Source organism: Homo sapiens, chromosome 13 (genome assembly GCF_000001405.40).
Source record: "Homo sapiens chromosome 13, GRCh38.p14 Primary Assembly".
Lineage (NCBI taxonomy): Eukaryota > Metazoa > Chordata > Mammalia > Primates > Hominidae > Homo > Homo sapiens.
Window position 1 is genome coordinate 92,126,349 of NC_000013.11, and position 23,326 is coordinate 92,149,674.

At 34.5% G+C, this 23,326-nt stretch overlaps 1 protein-coding gene across 2 annotated transcripts in view; it reads left to right on the plus strand.

Annotated features, from left to right (window-relative positions):
* GPC5 (glypican 5) overlaps positions 1–23,326 on the plus strand; it is a 1,468,617-nt gene that overhangs the window by 727,728 nt on the left and 717,563 nt on the right. For both annotated transcript variants that reach the window (NM_004466.6, XM_017020435.3), the window contains exon 7: positions 18,482–18,641. In NM_004466.6, the coding sequence (NP_004457.1) occupies positions 18,482–18,641 (160 nt within the window). The remainder of the gene's footprint in view (positions 1–18,481; positions 18,642–23,326) is intronic.

Below are 23,326 nucleotides of genomic sequence, written 5' to 3' on the forward strand. Positions count from 1 at the left end.
CTAAATTTAACATCTTATTCTTTAGTGATATCACAGTACAAGTAAATAGATGTCTTGCACATAGGACAAATTATTTAAGTTTGTTGAAGTAGTGAGATGATTGATTTTATTTTTAAGTAATAAGTAATGTGGGAAAATCTGCAATCAGTAAGATTTATGTGGATCCAGGCTCAACAAACTGCTGCTGATGGGCCGAATCTAGTCTGCAGCTTATACGTGTAAACAAAGTTTTATTGGGACACAGCCATGCTCATTCATTATGTAATGTCTATGGCTTTGACAGAGACTGTGCTACCTGCAAAGCCAAAAATATTTACTATCTGGCCCTGGACAGGAAATGTTTGTCAATCTCTGGTCTCCATCATAAAATGGATTTGAGTAGAGAGAAAAAAACTCATTAAAACATGTAGGGTGTTAGGTCCTTAAACCAGTAGGATACTAACAATAGAAATGGAAAGGAAAAGTTGGAGTGTGTGTGTGTGTGTGTATGTATGCATGTGTGTGCATTTGTGTGTATGTGATAACTGCTTAAATGCAGGGTACAATATAGAAGAGGAGGCAGTCGTGCTTAGATGGCTCTGAATTGACAGTTTCCTCCATCAATATTTAAGTGCAATTTTGGAGGAATATGCTTTTCCACTCAACCCTTAAGTCAAGTGGTTTAATCAGCTGGTCATATTTTTTTTTCCTAATGGTTAGAAAGGATAAACTACTCAGAAGGAAAAGTAGTATTGATTGAGAAAGAATTATAATGGAAGGGGGGGTGATTGCATACTTCTAGGAAAGTTTGAGGAAACAGCGAAAAACCAGTGTGTTACTGAACACTTGGATGAAAGCGTGAATGAAAGCAGGTGAGAGCAGCCTTAAAAGGAAGCTAGTTTGAACCAAAAGTAAACACTGTTTTTCATAGTGCCTCATATATATATGTGTATATATATATGTGTGTATATATGTATATATGTGTATATATATGTGTATGTGTATATATATATATCAAAAGATGCTGATACTTAATGTATAAATTAGAATATTAGCTTTTTTAAAGTATGAATTGAACTTATACAGGGTAAAAAAAAAATCCAATGATTTAAAATAATCAGGTTCCTTTTGTTGTTTAAATTCCCTACTGATAGAACTAAATAGGGTTCCCCTAAACAGGGTTCAAGGAGTAGAAACATACATAATGGTACTCAGGATTCAATCGATTAAATATTAATATTCCTTGAATTAGCAGAGCAGAACTAAGCATCCGAACACCAGATACAGGTCTGGAATAGCAGATACATCTAAGTAGGTTTCAGCTGTCTAAGGGCACATGCCTAGTACAGGGACATGAACAAAATGCTGGGTAAACAGGGATAAAAGCTCTATGAGGGATGTTTAACATTGAAATGTATAAAGTTTTTATTTAACCACGAAGTTTTCTATATTGGCTAAGATTTTATAATGATAATGAATTATTCATGTGAAAATTAACTTTTTTTTGTATTTTCAAAGAAAAAAGCACAAATACACCCATAGAACAGTGTGAAATACTATCTTTCACAATGTACACCAGGCCAGGAAATTATTGGGTTGATTTGAGTCAACAAAATTTCACTTTGCGATGAAATAAGACAATCCTGGAGGGACCAGGGTTTCCATTTGCCTGGGCTCCTTCTGATGGCATCTTTACTCTCCAGGTGAAGGGATGTTTCTGAGATCAATCTTCCTCTCCTTTGATATTTACCTTCTTTTAAAACCTACTGAATATTGACTTACTCAGCTTTTCCCTATTCTTCGGGTTTCCTCTGGGTCCTTTGATAATAGATGCTGGTATCCCTGTCTGTCATTCACTCCTATATGGTTCTCAGGGTTTGTTGTTCCTCCCTCTGCTAACCTGAGCCCTACAGGCCAAAGTAAATTACTCTCCCAGCACCTTTTATAGAGAGTGGTTCATAGTAGTTTTCCTGACACTTTCACCAGTGACACCTATGTTATTACACATTTCTCTCCAAGAACATCTCTAAAGCCTTTATGATTTACACATTTGAGTTACCTTAGACCAACTGACCAAAACACAAGATATGCTGTCACATTTTAAGCTGCTTCCTCAGAATATGTTGGTTGAAATCTACTGCCTTTCCCTTGTCCTGGGTTTCTAAAGACCTGTAGGGTAGTTTCTCAATAACATATCTTAATAATATCTCAGAATGATTGTTATACCAACAAGACATTTTTACTTCATTACTCTGTCAGAGAACTCGGTCTCATTAGCAAAACCTGTTTAGAACAGCCATCTTAAATCCTTGTTGGACCAATTGCAGGCATGCTTTTAATTTAAGAAGTAATCCTGGCCGGGTGTGGTGGCTTATGCCTGTAATCCCAGCACTTTGGGAAGCAGAAGCAGCTGGATCACAAGGTCAGGAGATCGAGACTATCCTGGCCAACATGGTGAAACCCCATCTCTACTAAAAATACAAAAATTAGCTGTGCGTGGTGGTGTGCACCTGCAGTCCCAGCTATTCAGGAGGCTGAGGCAGAAGAATTGCTTGAACTTGGGAGGCAGAGGTTGCAGTGAGCCAACATTGTGCCACTGCACTCCAGCCTGGGTGACAGAGTGAGACTCCATTTCAAAATAAAAATAAAAGTAAAATAAAATCTTCAAGAATACCAAAGCAACTGGGAGCCAAACTCATTGCAAGGGAGAGAGCCTGCCTCAAAAACATGGCCAACCCCCTTGTTCAACACATTTCTAAGATTTTGAAGCTGAATAGGGTGAAATGCTAAAGGCCTAAGCTCAATACCCCTGAAATTTAATCTCCAACAGAATTTTGAGACTAATGAGATTAAATCTGAGACTAATTTTGAGACTAATGACTAATGAAGTAGTTCCAGCAAGCTCTCAATCAAAACCTCAAAAGGATCATACTTCAGAAACAGAGATAAGCCAAAGATGGCAGAGTCTTACTGAAACTAAACCTCAATCCTGACTACTTCAATCTCTGATTGTATTGATAATGACTTTCTCCCAACCCTATCTTCTCATTAGAGAAAAGTGGGAATACATTCTAAAACTAACATTATCAGAATACTTCATTATTCTTTTATATAGTGTCCAGCATGATACGAAAAATGTCTAGATATGTGAAGTGGCAACAATTTTATTAACAATCAACAAAACACATGTGCACAATAAGCACAGCTCCACAGATTCACAGTTCAGAATTAAGCGGACAAATTTAGAATAACCATTGCTAATATAATAAAAGTAGACAAACTGGATGAAATGGAGATTGTAGCAAAGATTTAAATCTATAAAAAATCATAGACATTCTAAAACAGAAATACAATAATTGAACTTATGTCACTGAATAGGTTTGCTTTTGAATAAGTGTGGTAAAACAACCTGAAAAGAGATTCATAGAAATAATGTAAATTGATCTGTAGAAATAATCTCAACTGATGAGATTGAATAAAGCAGAACAAAACAAGAAAGACATGAGGCACAGTCAAAACATCTACTATAACTGAATTGGACATAAAGACAAGTGAGAGAGAATAGAGAATAAGCAATATCAGAAGAGCCGTTGGTCAAAAATTTTGTAAAATTGATAAAGAATATTAACCTACTTGCAAGAAAGTTAACAAAACCTAAGGAACATAATACAAATAAAACCTTACCTGACTAGATTATAAGCTGCTGAACTAAAACAAAAGCCTCAAAAGTAAGTAAAAGAGCACAGATAAGTATTCCAAGAAAAACTCTGGAAGCTGGAGACAATGAAATGGCATTTTAACATGCTGAGGGGCAAATTTGCCAGTCTAAAATTTAATAACCAGTGAAAAACACAAAAGTGAGACACAGTAAAATATATTTAGACAAGTAATTGTTGAGAGAATGTTTGCCTAGGAGACCCGAACTACAGAAATACTAAGGAAAGTTCTTCGGACTAAGAAAAAATTATCCCAGCTAGAAGCATGCAATTAGAGGAAGCAATGATGTTAACTGAAAAAAAAAAAAAGTCTTAAAATATTGGCACAAGAAGTTCTAAAAATCTGAGTAAGTTCTGTATCTGTTATAGAAACTATATGATTAACACATTTTACAAACACACACACACACAATTCCAACCACATGTGGATTAGCTGGTGAATTCTTACCAAAACTTAAGGAACTAATTGGACTAGGCTTACACAAGCATTTTCAGGAAATAATACAAAAGAAAGAACACTTAATTTTTTGTGGGAAGCCAGTAATCATTGACACAAAAATCTGAAAGATGTTGTAAGAAAAGTAATTTATAAGGAATATTCGCCATGCAAATAAACATGAGAAGTAAGGATAAATATAATTAACTTGTCTTTTAGAAAGTTTAAATGTTGTATAAAATATATGACAACAAAGAGTGGGAGTAGCCAAATAGTGTTTAACTGTCCTAAGGTCCTTATATTGTTGGAGAAGTGGAAAAAGTGCTAATTAAGGTAGTCCACAATAGTCTAGAATAAATAATGGATTATGTAGATAAAGTACTGAAAAGGAATTACAAGTATTTTAATAAGATGAAAAATAAATAATTATTCTAAAAATGGCAAAAAATAAGAAAAAGATAGTAAAAAAACAGAAACAGAAGATTAAATCCAGAATTAATAAAGAACTCTTAAAAATCAATTTGAAAAATTCAGAAAATCTATTTTTTAATGGACTAATGACTTGAATAGGCACTTTATTAGCAGATATTTAAAAACCTAAAAGCCTAAGAAAATCATTAATTGCTCAGAAATGCAAATTAAAACGGCCTTAAACACCACTATATACCCACTAAATACCCAAAATTAAAATGACCGATAATATCAAGGGTTTCAGAAGGTGTGGAATAACTACCACTCTTATAGACTGTTATGTGAATGTAAATCTGAAAAACCATATTGAAAATTTGTTTGGCGATATCTACTAAAGTTAAATGTATATGTACCTTTTGACCCAGCAATTCCACTCCTGGATGTATATATTCAAGATCATTGAGTACTTCAGTCTATGTCAGTCTATCAAAAGATATGTATAAGATATTCAATTAGCGTTATTTATAGTAGCCCAAAATTAGAAACAGGTGAATCATCTAATAACACAGTTATATATTTATAAAATGGAATACCCCTATTAAAATTATAAAGTATGAACTATAGGTATATATAAGAATCTCATAAATGTTTAAAACCTAATGTTGAATAAAATCAGTCATATGCAGGAGCATGTATACTGCATGATACTATTTTTATGAAGCTCATTAATAGCCTATTAACATTATTAATGGAATGAATCTATGTAAACAGAGGTCAGTATAGGAGTTACCTTTTTTTGGGTTGTGGTTATTGACTGAGATGGCAAGAAGGTTTATGGGGTATTTCTAAGATGATTTTTTTTATCTAAGTTTTTCCATGTATATGAACCTATGTGAAAATTCAATAAGGAGTATACTTAAGATCTGTATACTCTGTTACGTGTAAATTATATATTAATATTTAAAAGAAGAAAAATAAGTAGATTAATAAAGCACATTTTGCCTATCTATGACCCACCATTATACACTTAAGTATATACCCAACAGATATAACTGGGAATTTTTTACACCAAAAGACTTTTATTACAATATTATTTTTATATCCATACACTCAAAACAGTTCAATTGTCCACCAAGGGCAGAATGTAAACATATTTTATTGGATCATTGATATAATAGAATAAAATACAGCAATTAAAGAACCGTTGCTACATCTGTGATGTCACAAATATGCTTGTATTCATATAAATTTCCTCAGGAAAAAATGAAGCTATGGTAGAGGAAGTCAAAAGAGTGTTATATTTGGTGGAAGAAAATTAATGAGGCATAAAAGAGGCTTCTGAGGTGCTCTTGTTTATGATGGTCACATGACTGAGACTATATTGAAAGATTGTGAAAATCGTACATGTATGATTTATGCACTTTTTAGTCTATAACAATGTATTCATTTGTGGGAGCTATTCTCCAGGGTACCACAAACTGGGTTGCTTAAAACACCAAAAATTTATTGTGTCACAGTTTGGGAAGCTTGAAGTCTGAAAACAAGATGTAGTCAAGGTAGTTTCCTCCAGAAGGATATGAGGGAGGCTGTCTGTGTTTCCTGAATCTCTTGCAGGTTCTGGTGGTTTGCTGGAAATCACTGGTATACCTGAGTTTACAGGTGTGTCCGCCCAGTCTCTGACTACACGTGGCATATTCTTTGTGTCTCCGTATAGTCTTCCCTCTGTGCGTATTCCTCTGTGTTCAATTTTCCCCTTTTTATAAGAATACTAGTAATATTGGATTAGGGCCCACCCTAATGATTCCATTTAAACTTGATTACCTCTGTAAAGACCCTATTTCTAAAGTCACATTCTGAAGTATTGGGGGTTAGGACATTAGCATATATTTTGGGGAAAAACATATTTCAACCCATAACATATAATTCAATTTTTAAAATCCCAAAATTAGCCTAAAATGGAATGAAATTGAAATAAATATCACAGAGGCCTGCAATATGGCTTGATTATATAATACCTATTTCTAAAGCAAATGTTACAATGGCTTGAGACATATTAGAATTGAAAATTTTTGAGCTATAAGACACATAAGAAATTTTAAGCTCCTCATTTTTTTTTGGATGAGACATTTATTAGTCTCAACAAGATTGATTTTCTTTTAAGGTCACACATTTAAATAGTTAACAGGAGAAATATTGACCAGAATCGTAGTCAAATACCCACCTACCCCCTTTCCAAGACAACTAAGGTTTCAAATGGCACCCATTTTTCTCAAATTATTTCTAGAATATTTAGCAAAAGAGGCTTTCAATTTGGCATATCTTTGTCTACAATTTTGTAGTTTATGTAAAGAAAGGTAGCTTAAGGGAATTTCATTTTAAAGGTGAGAATCAGAATGACATTTGTGAAGCTATGATGCTGTGCCATCTGGCGTACACGAGGGTGTCGTACTAAATGGGATCAGAATGAGCTCCTTTTGGAAGGAAACCTTTAATAGACTGGGAAACTTTAGGGGAAACTTCCCTTTTTAATAGAGCATTTGAAAATGAATTCTGCATAGCTGGCTAATGAAGGAAATCCAGATTTGTTGCCAAAACCAAGTTTTAAAGGAATTTGCAATCCTTCACAGTTCATTCAAGGAGGCAATGGAAATTTTGATGAAGAAAGTTTTTAAAATCTTTCTTAAAAGGAGCCCTTACTTTGGCATTGTATCATGATTAAAGTCTTCCTCCCTCCCTCTCTCCCTTCTATGCTTTTTGTTTCTTTTCTATCTTTCAATGACATCAGTCTCATGGAGATAAATGGTTAAAAGACAATGATTACAACACACAGAGTTGAGTGACACAAATCTTGTTGTAGTGTTAGAAATACATCAGTACATTGGGGTCATAAAGCGAAAAGGCAAGGGAAAAAAATCTAAGTTAAGAACAGAAAATGCTGATTCCCGCAGTCCATGTAGAAAATACATGTTTTTTTCTGTCCGTGGAGATAACTGAGATTAGTTAGTATTGTCAATTCTGTGCCTTCTGACTGAGCCAGGTGAGGCAAAATTTAGCAGATGAGTTGAGGGACGAAAACTATTACCTTGGCAATATAGACATTAATACTGTCTACATTGCTTACTGGGAAATGCATGCAAAATTAATACACTCTTGGTAGTATGGGTTGGCTTCACTTCTGTAGAGTGTGGTTAATAGAATGCTGATTCAACAGGCAATGTAGAATTGTCTAAAATTCATCTTCAATGAGTTCATGGCATATTTTGGAATTTATTCACTTGTTTGCCTCAGGAACAGTAGCTGTTCAGTTTTGTTCTGTCTTTGATTTTGAAAATTAGGTTACTGTGCTCTGTAGTGTTTGGAAGATGACATGGCATAACCAGGCAAACAGCTAGGCATTTTCTCACAGTGAATTACCAGTGCCCTTACTTGTCATGATACCCACAACAGGCAAAGGCAGTTTCCTGAGGCAATCCAGGCCACGAAGAACTGTACATTTGGGGAAAACATATCTTCAAATATATACGTTAAAATGTAAAAAGTGTTAGTTTGTATTACTTTTGTGGATATTTAAACATTCCCTATGCATATAAAGACCTAGTTAAAGAGATGAAGGCTTTTGGCATGTTCAATAAGCAACTCCTTGATGAGAAACCACACTATAAATATAATAAATAGGACTTAATAAAATTGAAAAATAATGAGATTAGTTACTGTTGAACTATTTTTGCTTAGAATGCCCCTGGATTTCAGTCATAGAAATTCACTTGTACCTGGGTCAGTTACAAGTTCTTATTTGTGATGGTTTCTGTTCCATTGGCAATTACAATTTTGATAAGTTGAATAAAATATCTTTCTAAAAGGGAGTTCTTATATTGGCAATGTATCATGATGAAAGTTTTCTTGCCTCTTTCTCTCCCTCCCACATATACATTTTCGTGTCAGTATATGTATATGTGATTTGTGCCATTCGTGTGTGTGTGGGCAAATGAAAGTGGCATCAAGAAAATCTTACATTTAAAAAAATTGGGGTAGTATAATTCTTATGCATCACATACTGCATAATGTTTGACTATTAAGAAATTTGCGTCACACATCTAATTATTTCATTAAACATGTTAGAGGCAATTAATTTACTTATACCCTCCATTTCCTTTTCCCCCCTCTCTGGTTCTCCTGCTGCAGGGTCATTATACATTGCTTACTCACAAAATGTCCTTGTTTTTTTCCCTTACTCCTGTCATTGATCTTCTGAATCTTTCCAGTGAACTTAACATGGATGTTTTGATAGAAAGCTCTGACATTAACTCTGGAGTTGTTTTGCAAGGCAGGTTGTTTGCTTTTTCACAAATTTTTTTCAGGTCCTTGAAGTGTTTTCATATAGATGTTTCACAAGAGCCATTTCAGAATTGAGAACATTTGGCGTGTACTCTTCCTCTTTTGGTCCCACGATTTTTCTGAGTCCTACTTGAGGTTATGTTTTCTCCCCTGTTTCAATTGTAATATTTCACTTACTCGTTAGTTTTTAGTTTGAACTCTCCTGGGAGGTCTAATGTAGAGTTTGGACAACGACACAAATTCATAATAAACCTACCCAGTCAATTTTGGTATGAGGGCTTAGAAGGTGGAACTGGCCACATTTTGAACCGGAGGTAAGGATCAGGAATGGTAATGGAGAGACATACAGGATTTTCTTATGGGAAAAAGAACAAATAACCTCTGGGCAGTATTAGAGCCAAGAGAGTGATAAGCCTTTTCTAACTTCAATATTCTGTGTACAAATTCACAAGACTTTTATAAATTGCCAGACTGCATTGCATAAACCAAATGCCAACAGAGCAGTGACCTTTCAAATTACTGGCACAACAGGAGCCGAGATCAGAAAGTTCAAACTTTAAAAGCAAACACTGACAAGAAATCCGACAGAAATGACTTCGGTGTCTGGTCAACTTAACATAACATGACACATTGTAAAGCGCGTTCGGCTTTTTAGGTAGAATTGTCTATAAAGGTTTAACTGCTTTAGAAAATATAAATGTGAAGATTTGTGGTATTTGGGTTTATGTACACGGTATTTCTACATTTGAAAGAGACAGTAGAAAAGTTTGGTATAAGATTTGTAAAATATGTTTGTAATCATGCTAATGGAAGAGGTGAGAGTTGGGTGGAGTGGCGTGTAGATGGAAACATAGTTTGGGGATTGGGGAAAGGGAATTATGCTCTAAATAGTGAGTCATGTTATATAAAGTCTGTTTTGTGTCTCAATTGAAATATGTTGTAGAGATAAATTTAAAATAGATCATGATGGATTTTGAATCTGATTTCTAATTTTAAAATATTACGAGCTTTTGTTGCTTTCCTATTTCATACACATTTCCTTATGGGTTTCACTTAGTCTCCATGAAATTGCAGATGCCAATTACCTTTTAACAAAATTAAATTCACATATATTTATAATTGCATGTATATATCCATAATTTTTTATTCTATACATGATATATTATTTAAAGATGGTTTATCAATCACAAAATAAAAAGTATAATTTTTCTATACCTTCAGTTTTCTGGTTTGAATTTTTTCTGGCAACACTAATTTTCACCTACCTATACTCATTATAGTATAAAAGTGTACAAGTGCATATTTTACCATGTTTACATTTGAATGGGTGACTAGAGGTACATCTATGATGACTAATACTTTCTAAACACATATTTACTTCTCATATATCTGTGTAAATGATCGTAAGAGGAAGGGAAAAATGGAGATGTATCATTATGTATACTGTCTTAAAGCATATTCATCTGCTCTCATGTTTGGAGATATTTGAATATGATGAATGTTTCTCTTTCACCACTAACAGGTTGTATGTGTGAGCCAGATCTTATTGCAAGTGTTTGAAAGGCTATAGCAAATATGGGATATTGCCAGACAGTTAGTAAAAAGCAAACTGATTCTATTGAGAAATTAATTCACCAGCTGAAAGAAGTACATTTGCTTAAGAGTCATCAGATATTCTACCCACCAGACTCATCTCCAAGATAGCATCCCTAATGAGCTTCCTAAACCAACTAAACATAAGCAGGAAGCATCAGTCATCAAAACTATTTTTGGCTAATCAGCTGACTGCACAAACTGCATGGCATTGAGGAAAGGAAGCACGTTCCGAAAGTTGTTTTTTTTTTTCATCCTGTCCTCACTTTGTTGGTTTCTCAGTTTTACGGATGCAGTGTCATGCGCAGAACCCTGTAAATGAGCATAGTTCGTTCAAGTATATAAAGTGCTTTCCCATGTATTATTATTCAGTAGAATAAATTGAATTTAACAAGCTTAAGTGATTTGCCTAAAGGCACACAATTAATGTGTGGCTGGAATTCAAAATTGTGTCTTTTCCTCTGTTCTAATTGTTCTATAACTACAGGTGTAGTGATTGACTTTGTACCCACCATGACAGGGAATAAGTTCAAAACTTGAAACACTGTTTATTTTATAATTAGGTAGACGCAAATGACAGAGTCAAGGCAGAGTGGGGAGCCAGTTAATGTTACTCCCATATGGGTTCTCTCCTCCAATACAGGATTGGGGTAGCAGTGTCAGCTCCTACTGGTTATAACGATCTTAATGATAAAGTTAACTAACCATAACTGAATACTCATAATGTGCTAGCATTTTTCATAATGTATCTCAAATAATACTCACAAAACCTTCCAAATAAATATTACCTTTTTGTTGTCTTTGTTTTATTTTGTTTCATTTTGTTTGAGACAGTTTCACTCTGCTGCCCAGGCTTTAGTGCAGTGATGCAATCATGGTTCACTGCATTGTCCACCTCCTGGGCTTAAGCAATCCTCCCACCTCGCCTCCCAAGAAGCTGAGACGGCAGGCATGCCCTACCACTCCCAGCTCCAGATAAATATTCGTATTCCATTTACTAATGCAGAAAATGTGTGGCCCAGAGAAGTAATGTCAAGTTTGTTGGGGTTTTAAGTTTTAAAAAATTATTTTATCAAACCCTAATGTAAACTATGGATTCTGGGTGATGGTGACGTGTCAGTTTAGGTTCACCTATTATAAAAAATGCATCATTCTGGTGCAGGATGTTGACAGTGGGGGAAGCTGTGTGTGTGTTGGGAGTAGGGAGTCTATGGGAACTCTTCTACTTTCCACTCAATTTTGCTGTGAACCTAAAACTACTCTAAAAAATGAAGTTTATTAATCAAGAAAATCATCTTGTATGAATATATGGGACAGCTATTCATGTATGTGGTAAAAATGAGAGATTTGTTAAAGTATGTGGCAGGAGTGTGTCTAATACGATTGATATTCATGTGTCACTTATAAAAACTGGCTTCTTGGCCAGGCGCAGTGGCTCACACCTATAATCCCAGCACTTTGGGATGCCAAGGTGGGCAGATCACTAGGCCAAGAGATCGAAATCATCCTGGCAAAAAATGGTGAAGCCCTGTCTCTACTAAAAATACAAAAATTACCTGGGCGTGGTGGTGTGCACCTGTTGTCCCAGCTACTCGGTAGGCTGACACAGGAGAATTGCTTGAACCCGGGAGGCGGAGGTTGCAGTGAGCCGAGATCACACCGCTGCGCTCCAGGCTGGGTGACAGAGCCAGACTCCATCTCAAAAAAATAAAAAATAAAAAATAAAAAAAAATAAAAATAAAAATAAAAATACTGGCTTCATTATCAATCTGTAGATTCATTTCATTTGTGTATGTTCGCTTAAGGGTGCATATATGGAAACCCTTTGTTGTTATTAAAGGTTTGTTGGGAAGGGCTCCTCTTTGGTGGAAACTATGTCTATTTCTTGAAAGCGATTTAAGAGTAAGATGTGAAATAATAACACTTGCCCCGAGGATGGAGCCAACACAGCACAGAGCATAGGGGAGTTATTTGATGCTGTCTCTGAGGGATTGGAGGAGAGGAATATAAACAGCCTATCCCTTGAGAAAGAATAGGGGAGGACTTCCTTACCTGATATCTCAGATCATGAAGCTACAGTTCTGTCCCTGCTGCAGGGGAAAAAAAAAATAACAGACTTTTTGCAAAAATCCATTTTTGAAAATATTCCTATATTCCAGATTTATAATGAAGCATTTTTGTACATATTAAAAAGGGTAATTAGAACATTTTTCTCTGGTTTATAGTAACTAGGATGGCAACACAAATATATGTTGGAAGTATTTCTTGGTATGATTCTTCAACATTAAATTGTTTTAAAAACTTAGAAGTCTCCAGGTACTCAGGAATAAGGTCATTTTAAATTATTCCTTATTGGCGATAAGAAAAATAATTAAGCAAGACCACAAAACTAAATGTTTACACTGTCTCTCCTGTTTCCTGATTTTCAGGTTATTTTTTATCCCAATTTTATTTTGCTGTATAGTCATATATTTCATTTTTGAAATAAAGTATGTAATCACTTCTTAAGAACCAAGGCTATGCCTTCTCTTTTGATACGGATGTTTATCTTTCAAAATACGTGTTATGGCTGGGCGCAGTGGCTCACGCCTGTAATCCCAGCACTTTGGGAGGCCGAGGCGGGTGGATCATGAGGTCAGGAGATCGAGACCATCCTGGCTAACATGGTGAAACCCCGTGTCTACTAAAAATACAAAAAATTAGCCAGACATGGTGGCATGCGCCTGCAGTCCCAGCTACTTGGGAGGCTTAGGCAGGACAATTGCTTGAACCTGGGAGGCAGAGGTTGCAGTGAGCCAAGACTGCGCCATTGCTTTCCAGCCTGGGTGACAGAGTGAGATTCCGTCTCAAAAAAAAAAAAAAAAAAAGTGTTATATTTAGAATATACTGAATTAATTTCATGGGATGAATAAATGAATCAGTTCATCTGCCAGTCAATAAGTGTAAAACCAAAGTTTTTCTAGAACATCAGGGTCTTTGATGATTTTCAGAGAAGAGAAAACACTATTCCATTAGATATAGAGGGCATTGAAGGCAGGGTAAGCTTAAATTATTTCCAAGTTCAAATAAATAAATCAAAATAGATGTATTTAGCGTCTACAATGTGGTAAGTACTCTAGTCATGATGGAAGGTGATGGAAAGCAGGTTGAATTCTTACCTTTGAGAAATTTATTACTAATCAGAAAGATATGACACGTTCAAGAAAGTGGATTAAGTGCAAGTAAACGATGCAGAGTTAAAATTATCACAGAAATATGTGCGGGATGGAAAAAGAGGTATTTGAGTTTGAATTTGAAAATTAAGTAGATAAAATAAGAAAATGAAAGGGTGTATTCTATGTGAAGGAAAAACAGCAGTTGGAAGTGAGAAGAATGTAAAAGAAGCATAAGCAAAATTCTAGACATAAAGTCATACAATTTCTGGAAGAACAGATTGATGGTTCTGCAGTAGAAGCTGGGTAGCGGGGAGCTGTGTTTAGATACAATTTACAAGCAAAACAAAATAATACATAATATGGAACCTTGACTTCTGGGCCAAATTTGAACTTTTTTCTTGGCGTCATTTCTAAAAGCATGTCAGTGGATGTTCAGTGAGGGAAGAGGGGTAATTTTCTTAGGTACATTTAGAAATTGTGAGACAAATCTCATATAGACAAGATTGCCTCCTGCAAAATTTCTCATGAGGGTTTAGTTCTAGGAAATTAAGAAGCGGCCATGGTATGCATTTCTCAAACATTTTTCCACATTTTATCACTCTTTCTGTGACCCATCTTTTTGGATTGATAACTCTCCTCTAGACACATGTCATGTTGGGAACCAGTGGTTTTGACAGTAAAGAATCACAGAGAGCAGTAAGGCTGAAAAATGACACGGTGAAAGTACTGATTTTAAGAAAATAATATGGTGGTAGTGGGTAGGAGAGACTAATGGCCCCTGTAATGAGGGAGCTGGGAAGATAAACTGTAATGACACACGAATAGTGGAGATGAGCAGTTTTATTTTAAGACAGAAAGTGGTAGAGTTCATCTCACTTCCAGTTGCTGCTTAGAGGTGAACTACAGAGAAAAACAAGGGCTACAGATAAGGACTTGAGTGTAATTTGTATACAAGTCAGAGCTCAATCTGTTAGGATGAATTCCAAGAAAGAGACTAAGAAGTAGGGGATTTATATTATTAATTGAAACACTTCCATGTGGATGTTGGAGGAGGCAAGAGAGAGGAAGTGAGGAGAAAGATAAGCAAACTTTTAAGAAGAAATCAGGATAGTGTAGTTAAAGAAAATTTGAATAAAGATCTTATTGTGAAAAGCCCATTGTTTTTGTTGATTACAAATTTACTGGAAATTTCTGCAAATCAAGTTTTATTACAATATGAGAGTGAAAGTGTACATTGTGGATGTATGATAATTGAAAAGCGAGAAAATGAAAATGATCAGGCAGAGCCTCCATGCAAAGGAAAGGGAGATATTGACCCTACAAGAGGGCTAGGGTAGTACTGGGGACTGAGAATCACGAATCGGGTGGGATCCTGGATATATCTGAATCACGCAATTATATTTCTTGCTCAGAGACTTGGAAATATAGTGAGAGGGGTTATTAAGAGGTAAATAAACTGAAAAGGTTTTTCTGAGAGCTTGTTTCCAAGGGTACCATCTTCTCAGGAAGGTGGTATCTTACAGAAATGATGACCTCTCATTCTGAGAAACATGCTAGAGAATCAAAAGCTTTCAAACACAATTGCCAAGCAGTAAATGTGGCCCATTTGAGGGTTAGAGAGTGTATTCATGTATTCATTTTCTCTTCCTGCATAGCAAATTACTACACATGTAGCAGCTCAAGACAACATCCATTTACTGCTCACTATTCCACAGATGAGAAGTCTGGGTGGGCTCACTGCTCAGGGTCTCACAAGGCTGAAAGCAGGTTGTCAGCCTAGCTTGACTCAGTTTGGGAGCTGAGGGGGAGAATCTGCTCCCAAGCTCGTCTAGGTTGTTGAGAGAACTCAGTTGTAGGAATGAAGACTTCAATTCCTTGCTGGCTGCAAGGCAGGTCACTCTCAGCTCCAAGAGGCCACTAGTGGTACAGTTCCTTGCCATAGGACCTTTGATAGGCCCTATCACATCATCCAAGCTCACACCCTCAAGGGCAGCAGCATGGGCCCCTGCATGCAAGCTCCTCACCCTCACATCTCATGCTTGGAATGTCTAACTTCTGGTGATAGTCAGAGGAAACTTTGGGGGACAGTGGGAGGGATAGCATTAGGAGAAATACCTAATATAAATGACAAGTTGATGGGTGCAGCAAACGAACATGGTACATGTATAGCTATGTATCAAACCTGCACGTTGTGCACATGTACCCTAGAACTTAAAGTATAATTTTTAAAAAAGGGAAAAAAATCATGTGGTTGCATTATTCCAAGCAGATCATCTCCCTTTTTGTAAATTCAAAATCAACTGATTAATGGCATCAGTTACATTGCAAAATTCCTTTTGTCATGTAAGTTGGTAGGCACGACTGACATCATATTCACAGCCCCAGGGGTTAAGGTGGAAAATCTTGGTGTCCATTTTGCTGTTCTCCTTAGCACGAATAGTTAAAATATAGTTTTGTGTAGTTTTATTTCTTAAAAATTTGAGTTCATGTGCCTCAGACATTTCCTAGAATGTCACTGAAGTGATGGAGGAAAAAAATGGAGAAAACAGAATAAATGTTTTTTAAGTCCTCCATTATATTTAACAATAATTACAAATAAATGAATAATTCTGACAATATATCCAATCACTTTCAACCAAAATCAATTTCTTAAAATAGTAAGTTTGGTTTTAAAAATCAATTATCTTTCTGTTTGTGTTTTTGAGTTCATTTACCTGGCTGGATCCTCATAACATATACACTGTTGGTGGTGTTAATGAGAGTCCATCTGTGTTCTTGCCACGATCCCAGTAAAATATTGGAATAATTCTTAGGGAAGTAAAGGGAAAATAAAGTTGATACGGGAAAATGTTGGAAAAGAATGTCGAGGTCAAAAGAAAGCAGCATATCACCAGAGAGTTAGGCTTTTGTTGTACTTGTCTGATAATACTTTGAAAAATTATAAATCATATAATTGCATTTTTAACTAATTCTTTCAATTAATGTGTTCTGGATATTTAAACAATATTGTACTAGAATATATAATAGAATAGATAATAATCAAAATGTATTAATGTTTAATGTGCTGGCATATTAAATATTTGCAAAGTGCTTTGCATATGTTTTTCTCACAATATGAGCAATGGTCCAGGTGTATTATTGTCCCTATTATAGATTTGAGGAAACTGATTTATTCAGTAACTTACTCAATACCCCATGTCTCGTGGTTGGTATATGTCAGAATCCAAGATTCACATCGAAGTATGTTGGACCTCAGAATCCAAGCCCTTTATGATTATACTAAATAGATAACAAATGGGATATTTCACAATAACAAATGATAACTGGTGTTACTTTATTTACCATTCATCATTATTTATCATTTATATAATGGTATAAAATAATACCATTTATCCTTTCCTTTTTAGATTTGACTTTTTATGTGTTTATTTCCTATCTGTGTTTCTTCATTGCTGTACTATCCCTTCCCTTTACAGGGAGTAGTATACACATCAGTATATTAAACACAGTAGAAAAGTTTGTCTAACTTAATATTTGCTGAGTTCACTTGATCTTGAAAGAAGACTTCTTTTTAATTTAATGCCACCTATTGACTTTGTTTGCAAAATGCTGATAAAAATAAGAATTTAAAAATTACTGTCAAATTGTTTTAGTATTTTTGTTAGAAAACTAATGTTTCAGAATTGGTAACCTAAAATTTGTACTGTTTAATTTTAAAAGTTTGTGAATTTCACAATCCAGTTACTTAATCTAAGTGTTTGTAACATGATAAACATATTTATGTTAGATATCCTGAGGCTATTTGACTCTCTGTTCTTCAGTATAAAATGCTGTCTTTGAGTTGTGTGTTTAATTATTGTCTGCTAATTGATAATATTATTTGGAAAGTCACAGAAGTAACAACCCTAAGTCTTTCATAAAGTGCTGTGAAAATTTAAATGACCACTAAGTGGTCAGCAGTTGTACATTTTTTTCATAATATACTAGTACCCTCTAGTGCTCACACTTGGCCATGTGCTCTCCAAAACCACCTTAGAGGGGTAAATGTAACATACTGCATTGGACTATCTTAATCAGGCTTAGTTTTAAGTGAAATATTCTATTTATAACATCACCTTTCTGAAAAGACATTCAGAAATTTCCAATGTTGTTCAAAAGTATTACTGGAACTCCTGTGCTGTAGGGGAAAATGTCTATTCCATCTGTTTTGCTCATTAAAATAAATGAAATACTTGAGAATCAAGAACTGAGAAGTCATTAAATTTCTTAAATGATTTGTAGAAATGGATGTAGGACCTAAGTCTTTTGTCCCAAGGTTCAGTATGTGCCATATGCATTGGACTGTGTATTTGATCCAAGAAAGTTTAAATGAAACTATAAATGTATATGTCTAAAATTCTGGATTTCTTTAGACAGAATCATTTTCTGGAAGAGTCGTACTTCTTCAGAAATACGGAGTGTGGGTTTACAAAACAGCACAAAATTATCAGCCAATATACTACAGAGGGAGTACTAGAATTTGATTTACCATATTTAAACATTATTTGTTCAGAAACAAAGGATCCTCTAGACAAACTGCCATAAGCAAAGAAGGTGTAATTTCATTTGCTTCCCAAAGAATCATCCAAACCATTGCCACAGAACTAATACATAGAGTGTAGCTCTTTATAGGTGTAAGACTTTGCCCGCTATTTATTACTATTTCAGTTGTTTCATTTTTCTTAAAGACTTGACTTGGTGTCTACACCAAAAGAGTGGATCCACATAACAAAATAATTCTAAATAAGTTTTCTGAATAGAATTCTTATGTTATTCAAATTTGCTATTAGTAAAGGCCTTTCTTTATGTACAATTAGTTGTTACAGGGTAGATCACCCAAACCTGACAAGTGGGAACTTCTTCAGCTGGGCAGTGGTGGAGGCATGGTTGAACAAGTCAGTGGGGACTGTGATGATGAAGATGGTTGCGGGGGATCAGGAAGTGGAGAAGTCAAGAGGACACTGAAGATCACAGACTGTAAGTGTATGATTCTAACACCACTTTTTTAAAACAATGATTTTGAAATATAATTAAAGATATTGTTATGGATGTAAAGAAATAATGACAATTCAAAAACAAGCAAGAGGAATTGGAAATGGAAATGAATCTATTTTTGGTTTTTTAGGACATACATTCTTGGTGGTTTTGTTTATTTTTAACTAATGACTTCTAATGAAATGATAGTTTTCTGTGAAAAAAAACTAGTAAACAATCACCAGTTCTGAGAAGGTTTGAAAGTGGAATAACTCTTAAGGCATAATGGATACTAATTGTATATTGATACATAACGTGAAACCAGGATGGGTAAGTACTACGTAATAATCAAATTGTGCAATTAAAAAATTACATCATTATATAAGAAAGTTTTTACTTTATTGCACTTCTATCATAGTCAAATTGCATAGAAATTGGTATATGGTTATTGATCATGAAAACTACTTGGATTTAATGCTTATGAATTTCCCCTTCCAAAAAAAAAAACTCACTAAACATTGATTTTGATTGTATGGATTTGAAACCATTTCAGAACTCATCGCTACCACAAAGGATAGAATTTTCAAATAACAACAAAAAATTACCAAATAGATTTCCCTTCCTGATTATCACATACAAGATAAGGAATATAGGTTCTCCACACTCCATTGTTATCTGCATGCATTTGTTCATATGGGCAAAACAACAAAAGTGACCAACTGAGAAATAATGTAAATGTTGATGTACCTAGAATAGCTGGTTTCAACTATTCATGTAATCTTGATTATACCAAAGGCAGGGGTCACCTTCTGGAAAGGTGCAGTCATATGTAGAGGTTGGTCTGATAGCTTCCCTCAAAACCACACAGAGCTGCTTTGCACCTATTAGACATGCCTTTTGGTGGGAGAAGAATTCATTTACTTTATAATTCTCTCATTGTGAATTAAAAGCACGATAAATGCTTCCAAAATCAATTCCTCATTCCTTCTAAGATCTGGTTTTACAAGCCAAATATATTGGTTTAAAAAATGGAAGCCAAAAGAGGTGCAAAATTAAAAAGGCAGTTAACATAATGAAATGTTTTCTCATTAGACACAGTAATACATTTTATTTAACATGGAAAATAAATAGATGAGAATTGGTGCACTTGAGCAGCCTTTGAACAAAAGGCCACAAAATTCTTAGTGCTAGTTAAATATATTCTATTCTTACAGAATGCGATAAAGATGTGTTCTTATGAGTATTAATATAGCTTATCAGATTGGTTTCTCCTTTTTTTCTTTCTTTGGTTAAGTCAAATATAATTAAAGATATTATTATGGATGTAAGAAAATAAAGACAATGTATTTGGGAATTAGCAAGAGAATTTGGAAATGAAAATGACTGTTTCATTTATTTAGGGCATGTATTCTTAGTGGTTTTGTTTATTTTTGACTAATAACTTTTGATGAAAATTATAGTTTTCTGTGAAAAAAATACTAGTGAATTATCACCAGTTCTGAGAATGATAAAGGTTTTATTTTATTATTTTTTAATTTCCTTAGGTTTTGGGGAAAACAGGTAATGTTTGGTTACATGAGTAAGTTCTTTAGTGGTGATTTGTGAGATTTGGGTACATCCATCATCTGAGCAGTATACATCGTACTCAATTTGTAGTCTTTTTTCTGTCACCCTCCTCCCACTGTTTCCCCCAATCCCCCAAAGTCCATTGTATCATTCTTATGCCTTTGCATCCTCATAGCTTAGGTCCCACTATGAATGAGAAAATACAATGTTTGGTTTCCTGTTCCTGAGTTACTTCACTTGGAATAACGGTCTCCAATTTCATCTAGGTTGCTGTGAATACCATTAGTTCATTCCCTTTATGGCTGAATAGTATTCCATGATATATATATATACCACAGTTTCTTTATCCACTCATTGATTGATGGGCATTTGGGCTGATTCCATATCTTTTCATGAGAATTATAAAGGTTTGAAAGTGGAATAACTCTTAGGGCATAATGGATATAAATTGTATATTGATAAATGACGTGACGTGAAGCCAGGATGAGTAAGTACTACTAAGTCATGAAATTGTGTCATTAAAAAGATACTATGTCATTATATAAGAAAGTTTTTACTTTATTACATTTTTATCATGGTCAAATAGCAAATTATAATTTATGTGAGGTGAAAGAAAATGAAAAAGGGTTTTCACTAGAAACAATTTTTTTTTTACTAAAAGCTAAAATATCTTCCACTGTATTTAGGAATTATAACACTTATCCATCAGGGCAGTATTTAATAATCTTTCATTTTCATCCTATCTGGAGTATTTATTTGTACTATAATTGCATGGCCATCTAAATATTAGTATTTTAGAACATAAAGTTATTACAAAGTAAAGCATTTTTTTGTGTGTGAGTGTGTGTGCATATGTGTGTATAAATAGTATATTTATAGGAAGTTTTTTACTTCATGAAGTTATTTACAAGTTCAAGAACTTGTTATATATTAGTACGTCACTCTTTTTTGTTTGTTTCACAAAGGAGGTAGAGGCAGTGAAGCATATTCAACTACTAATAGTTTTCTTCACAAAACTATACTTGACAAGTTGACAAAAATTTTTACTTCAAAACCTGGGTTTCAATTACTGCTGAAATGGACAGGCATGGTACAAGCAGCTACCCATCAGAATTTGGGCGATTTAAGAGAGATGATTTTTCAGCAACTCCAGGCAAGCATTTTCTGAAAATCCACATCTGCTCTAAGTGGGTTGCCTCTTATGTTTCTACGAGTTTATAGCTGTTGCCTTTCAATTTTTAATAAGTGGTTAGAAAACCACTGCGGGATAGCATGCTGAAGTAAAGAGGGACGAGGAAAGGAGCGAAGTGTAGGTCACATTTCTATTTTTATAAAGCACTCTAGTATTTTGCCCGTTTTGGCCCAGTTTGAATATATTGGTAAAGCAAGTTAAGGCATAGTTTTAGATGGTCTTAATGACTTCAAAATATTGTGATCTAAAAAGTTTAACAAGGTGTCATCTGTGTTAAGAACTTGAAATGCACCACTATTTCTTCATTACGCTTTCATTTATTCTTTGGAAAATATGACATAAATAGCACACAGTTCATTTGTTACCATAAAAAGTCTGACTAAATTTAAAGTTATATATGTGTATATATCTACATATAACTATATATAGTTGTGAGTATTAATACTAATATTGTATCTTTGAAATTTCATGATTCTGCCCTATTTATGCAAATGAAAAAAGTTGGTAAATATTTTGCTAATTATTACTTGAACTGATTTTCTGTGTCTGTTTTTGTTCATGTTTATATCAGATGACAGAGGGGTCTCTATATTTCAATATGCAAAGTTTTACCACCAAAATATTTGCGTACCTTTTAGGTGTCATTTTGTCTTCATCACCAATGTTATCAACTTATTTAACCATCTTACTGCTTTCTAAATAATTTCTATTTGTAATCCCACCTATACATTATAATTAAATGTTAACTAATGTTTCTCAAAGAAAGAAGCCATCTATACTATGTAATTTTCACTCTTAAGTAACTGATTTCAGTAGAATGGCTTAAAAATCCCATTAGGAAAATTTGTCCACATTTTTATTATATGTATTTGGTTCATTTACATAGATATAGATAGTTCACTAGTAACCTGGGGTTGCAGGATTGGAATGGCTTTGAACTTAAAAGTCGCCTCACCCCTTGCCTGACACCTGCCATTCTTTCACAGTAGCTAACTGATGAAGGTTCTAAACACAACTGGAAAAAATAATTCTCTTCTTTTGGCCATGCAGAACGAATCTAATATTAAAATCTATACTTCTTGAAATATCTGACTATACTTCTTAGGTCTCTAAATCTGGATAGCTTCAAATGTTGAAAAGCAGAACTACTAAAAACAACTTGTAGCAAAATTATTCTACATATAATTTTGAAAATTTGTGGTGGCATTGTTTACAATTCTTATGTGATCTTATGATTTAAATCACAATAATTACTTATAAAAAGTAAGTAATACATAATCCATGATCAAATTCATTTTGGCAAGCTGGTTCACAGTGGTAATCGAGGGAAAATGCATCTGATCACAACTAGAACCAGATACCAGACACTTTTAAAAAGTAAGGTGGTTTTCAATCTTTGGATTTATTTTGCTGGGCTTCTCCTCATCATTCCACATTCTAAATATTTGAGGATTCCAGAATTCAGTTCTCAAACCTTTTATCATGTCTATTGACAACTAGCCCTTTTCCCACAGACTCCTTACTGAATCGTAATTATGAAAATAATAAGGTTCCCTGCCTCTGATAGCACTATCCAGTTCATAAAGCATTTCCCAGTGTAATACCTTAGGAGGTAGGAGGTAGGCTTATTGGAACAGAAAGTATCTGACTTAAATATGATTAATTTAGAAATAGTAGGATAATACATTGCAATATTAAATTGCTAGATCTAGAATTTTTGGTTGATTAGAGTAAAATAAATAGAACTATTGTTTGTGTTGTGTTTTGGTTTTCTCACATGGTAACTTTGTATCTGCCTCTAACAAATGTATCCATGTCAGCGTACTAAGAATGACCTAGGAAAGAGAATAGTATATTCTGTGCACAGAGCAAAATGAAAATTACACTTTACTAGCCGCTGAAGAATAAGGGAAGGTGATTTATTTAGTAA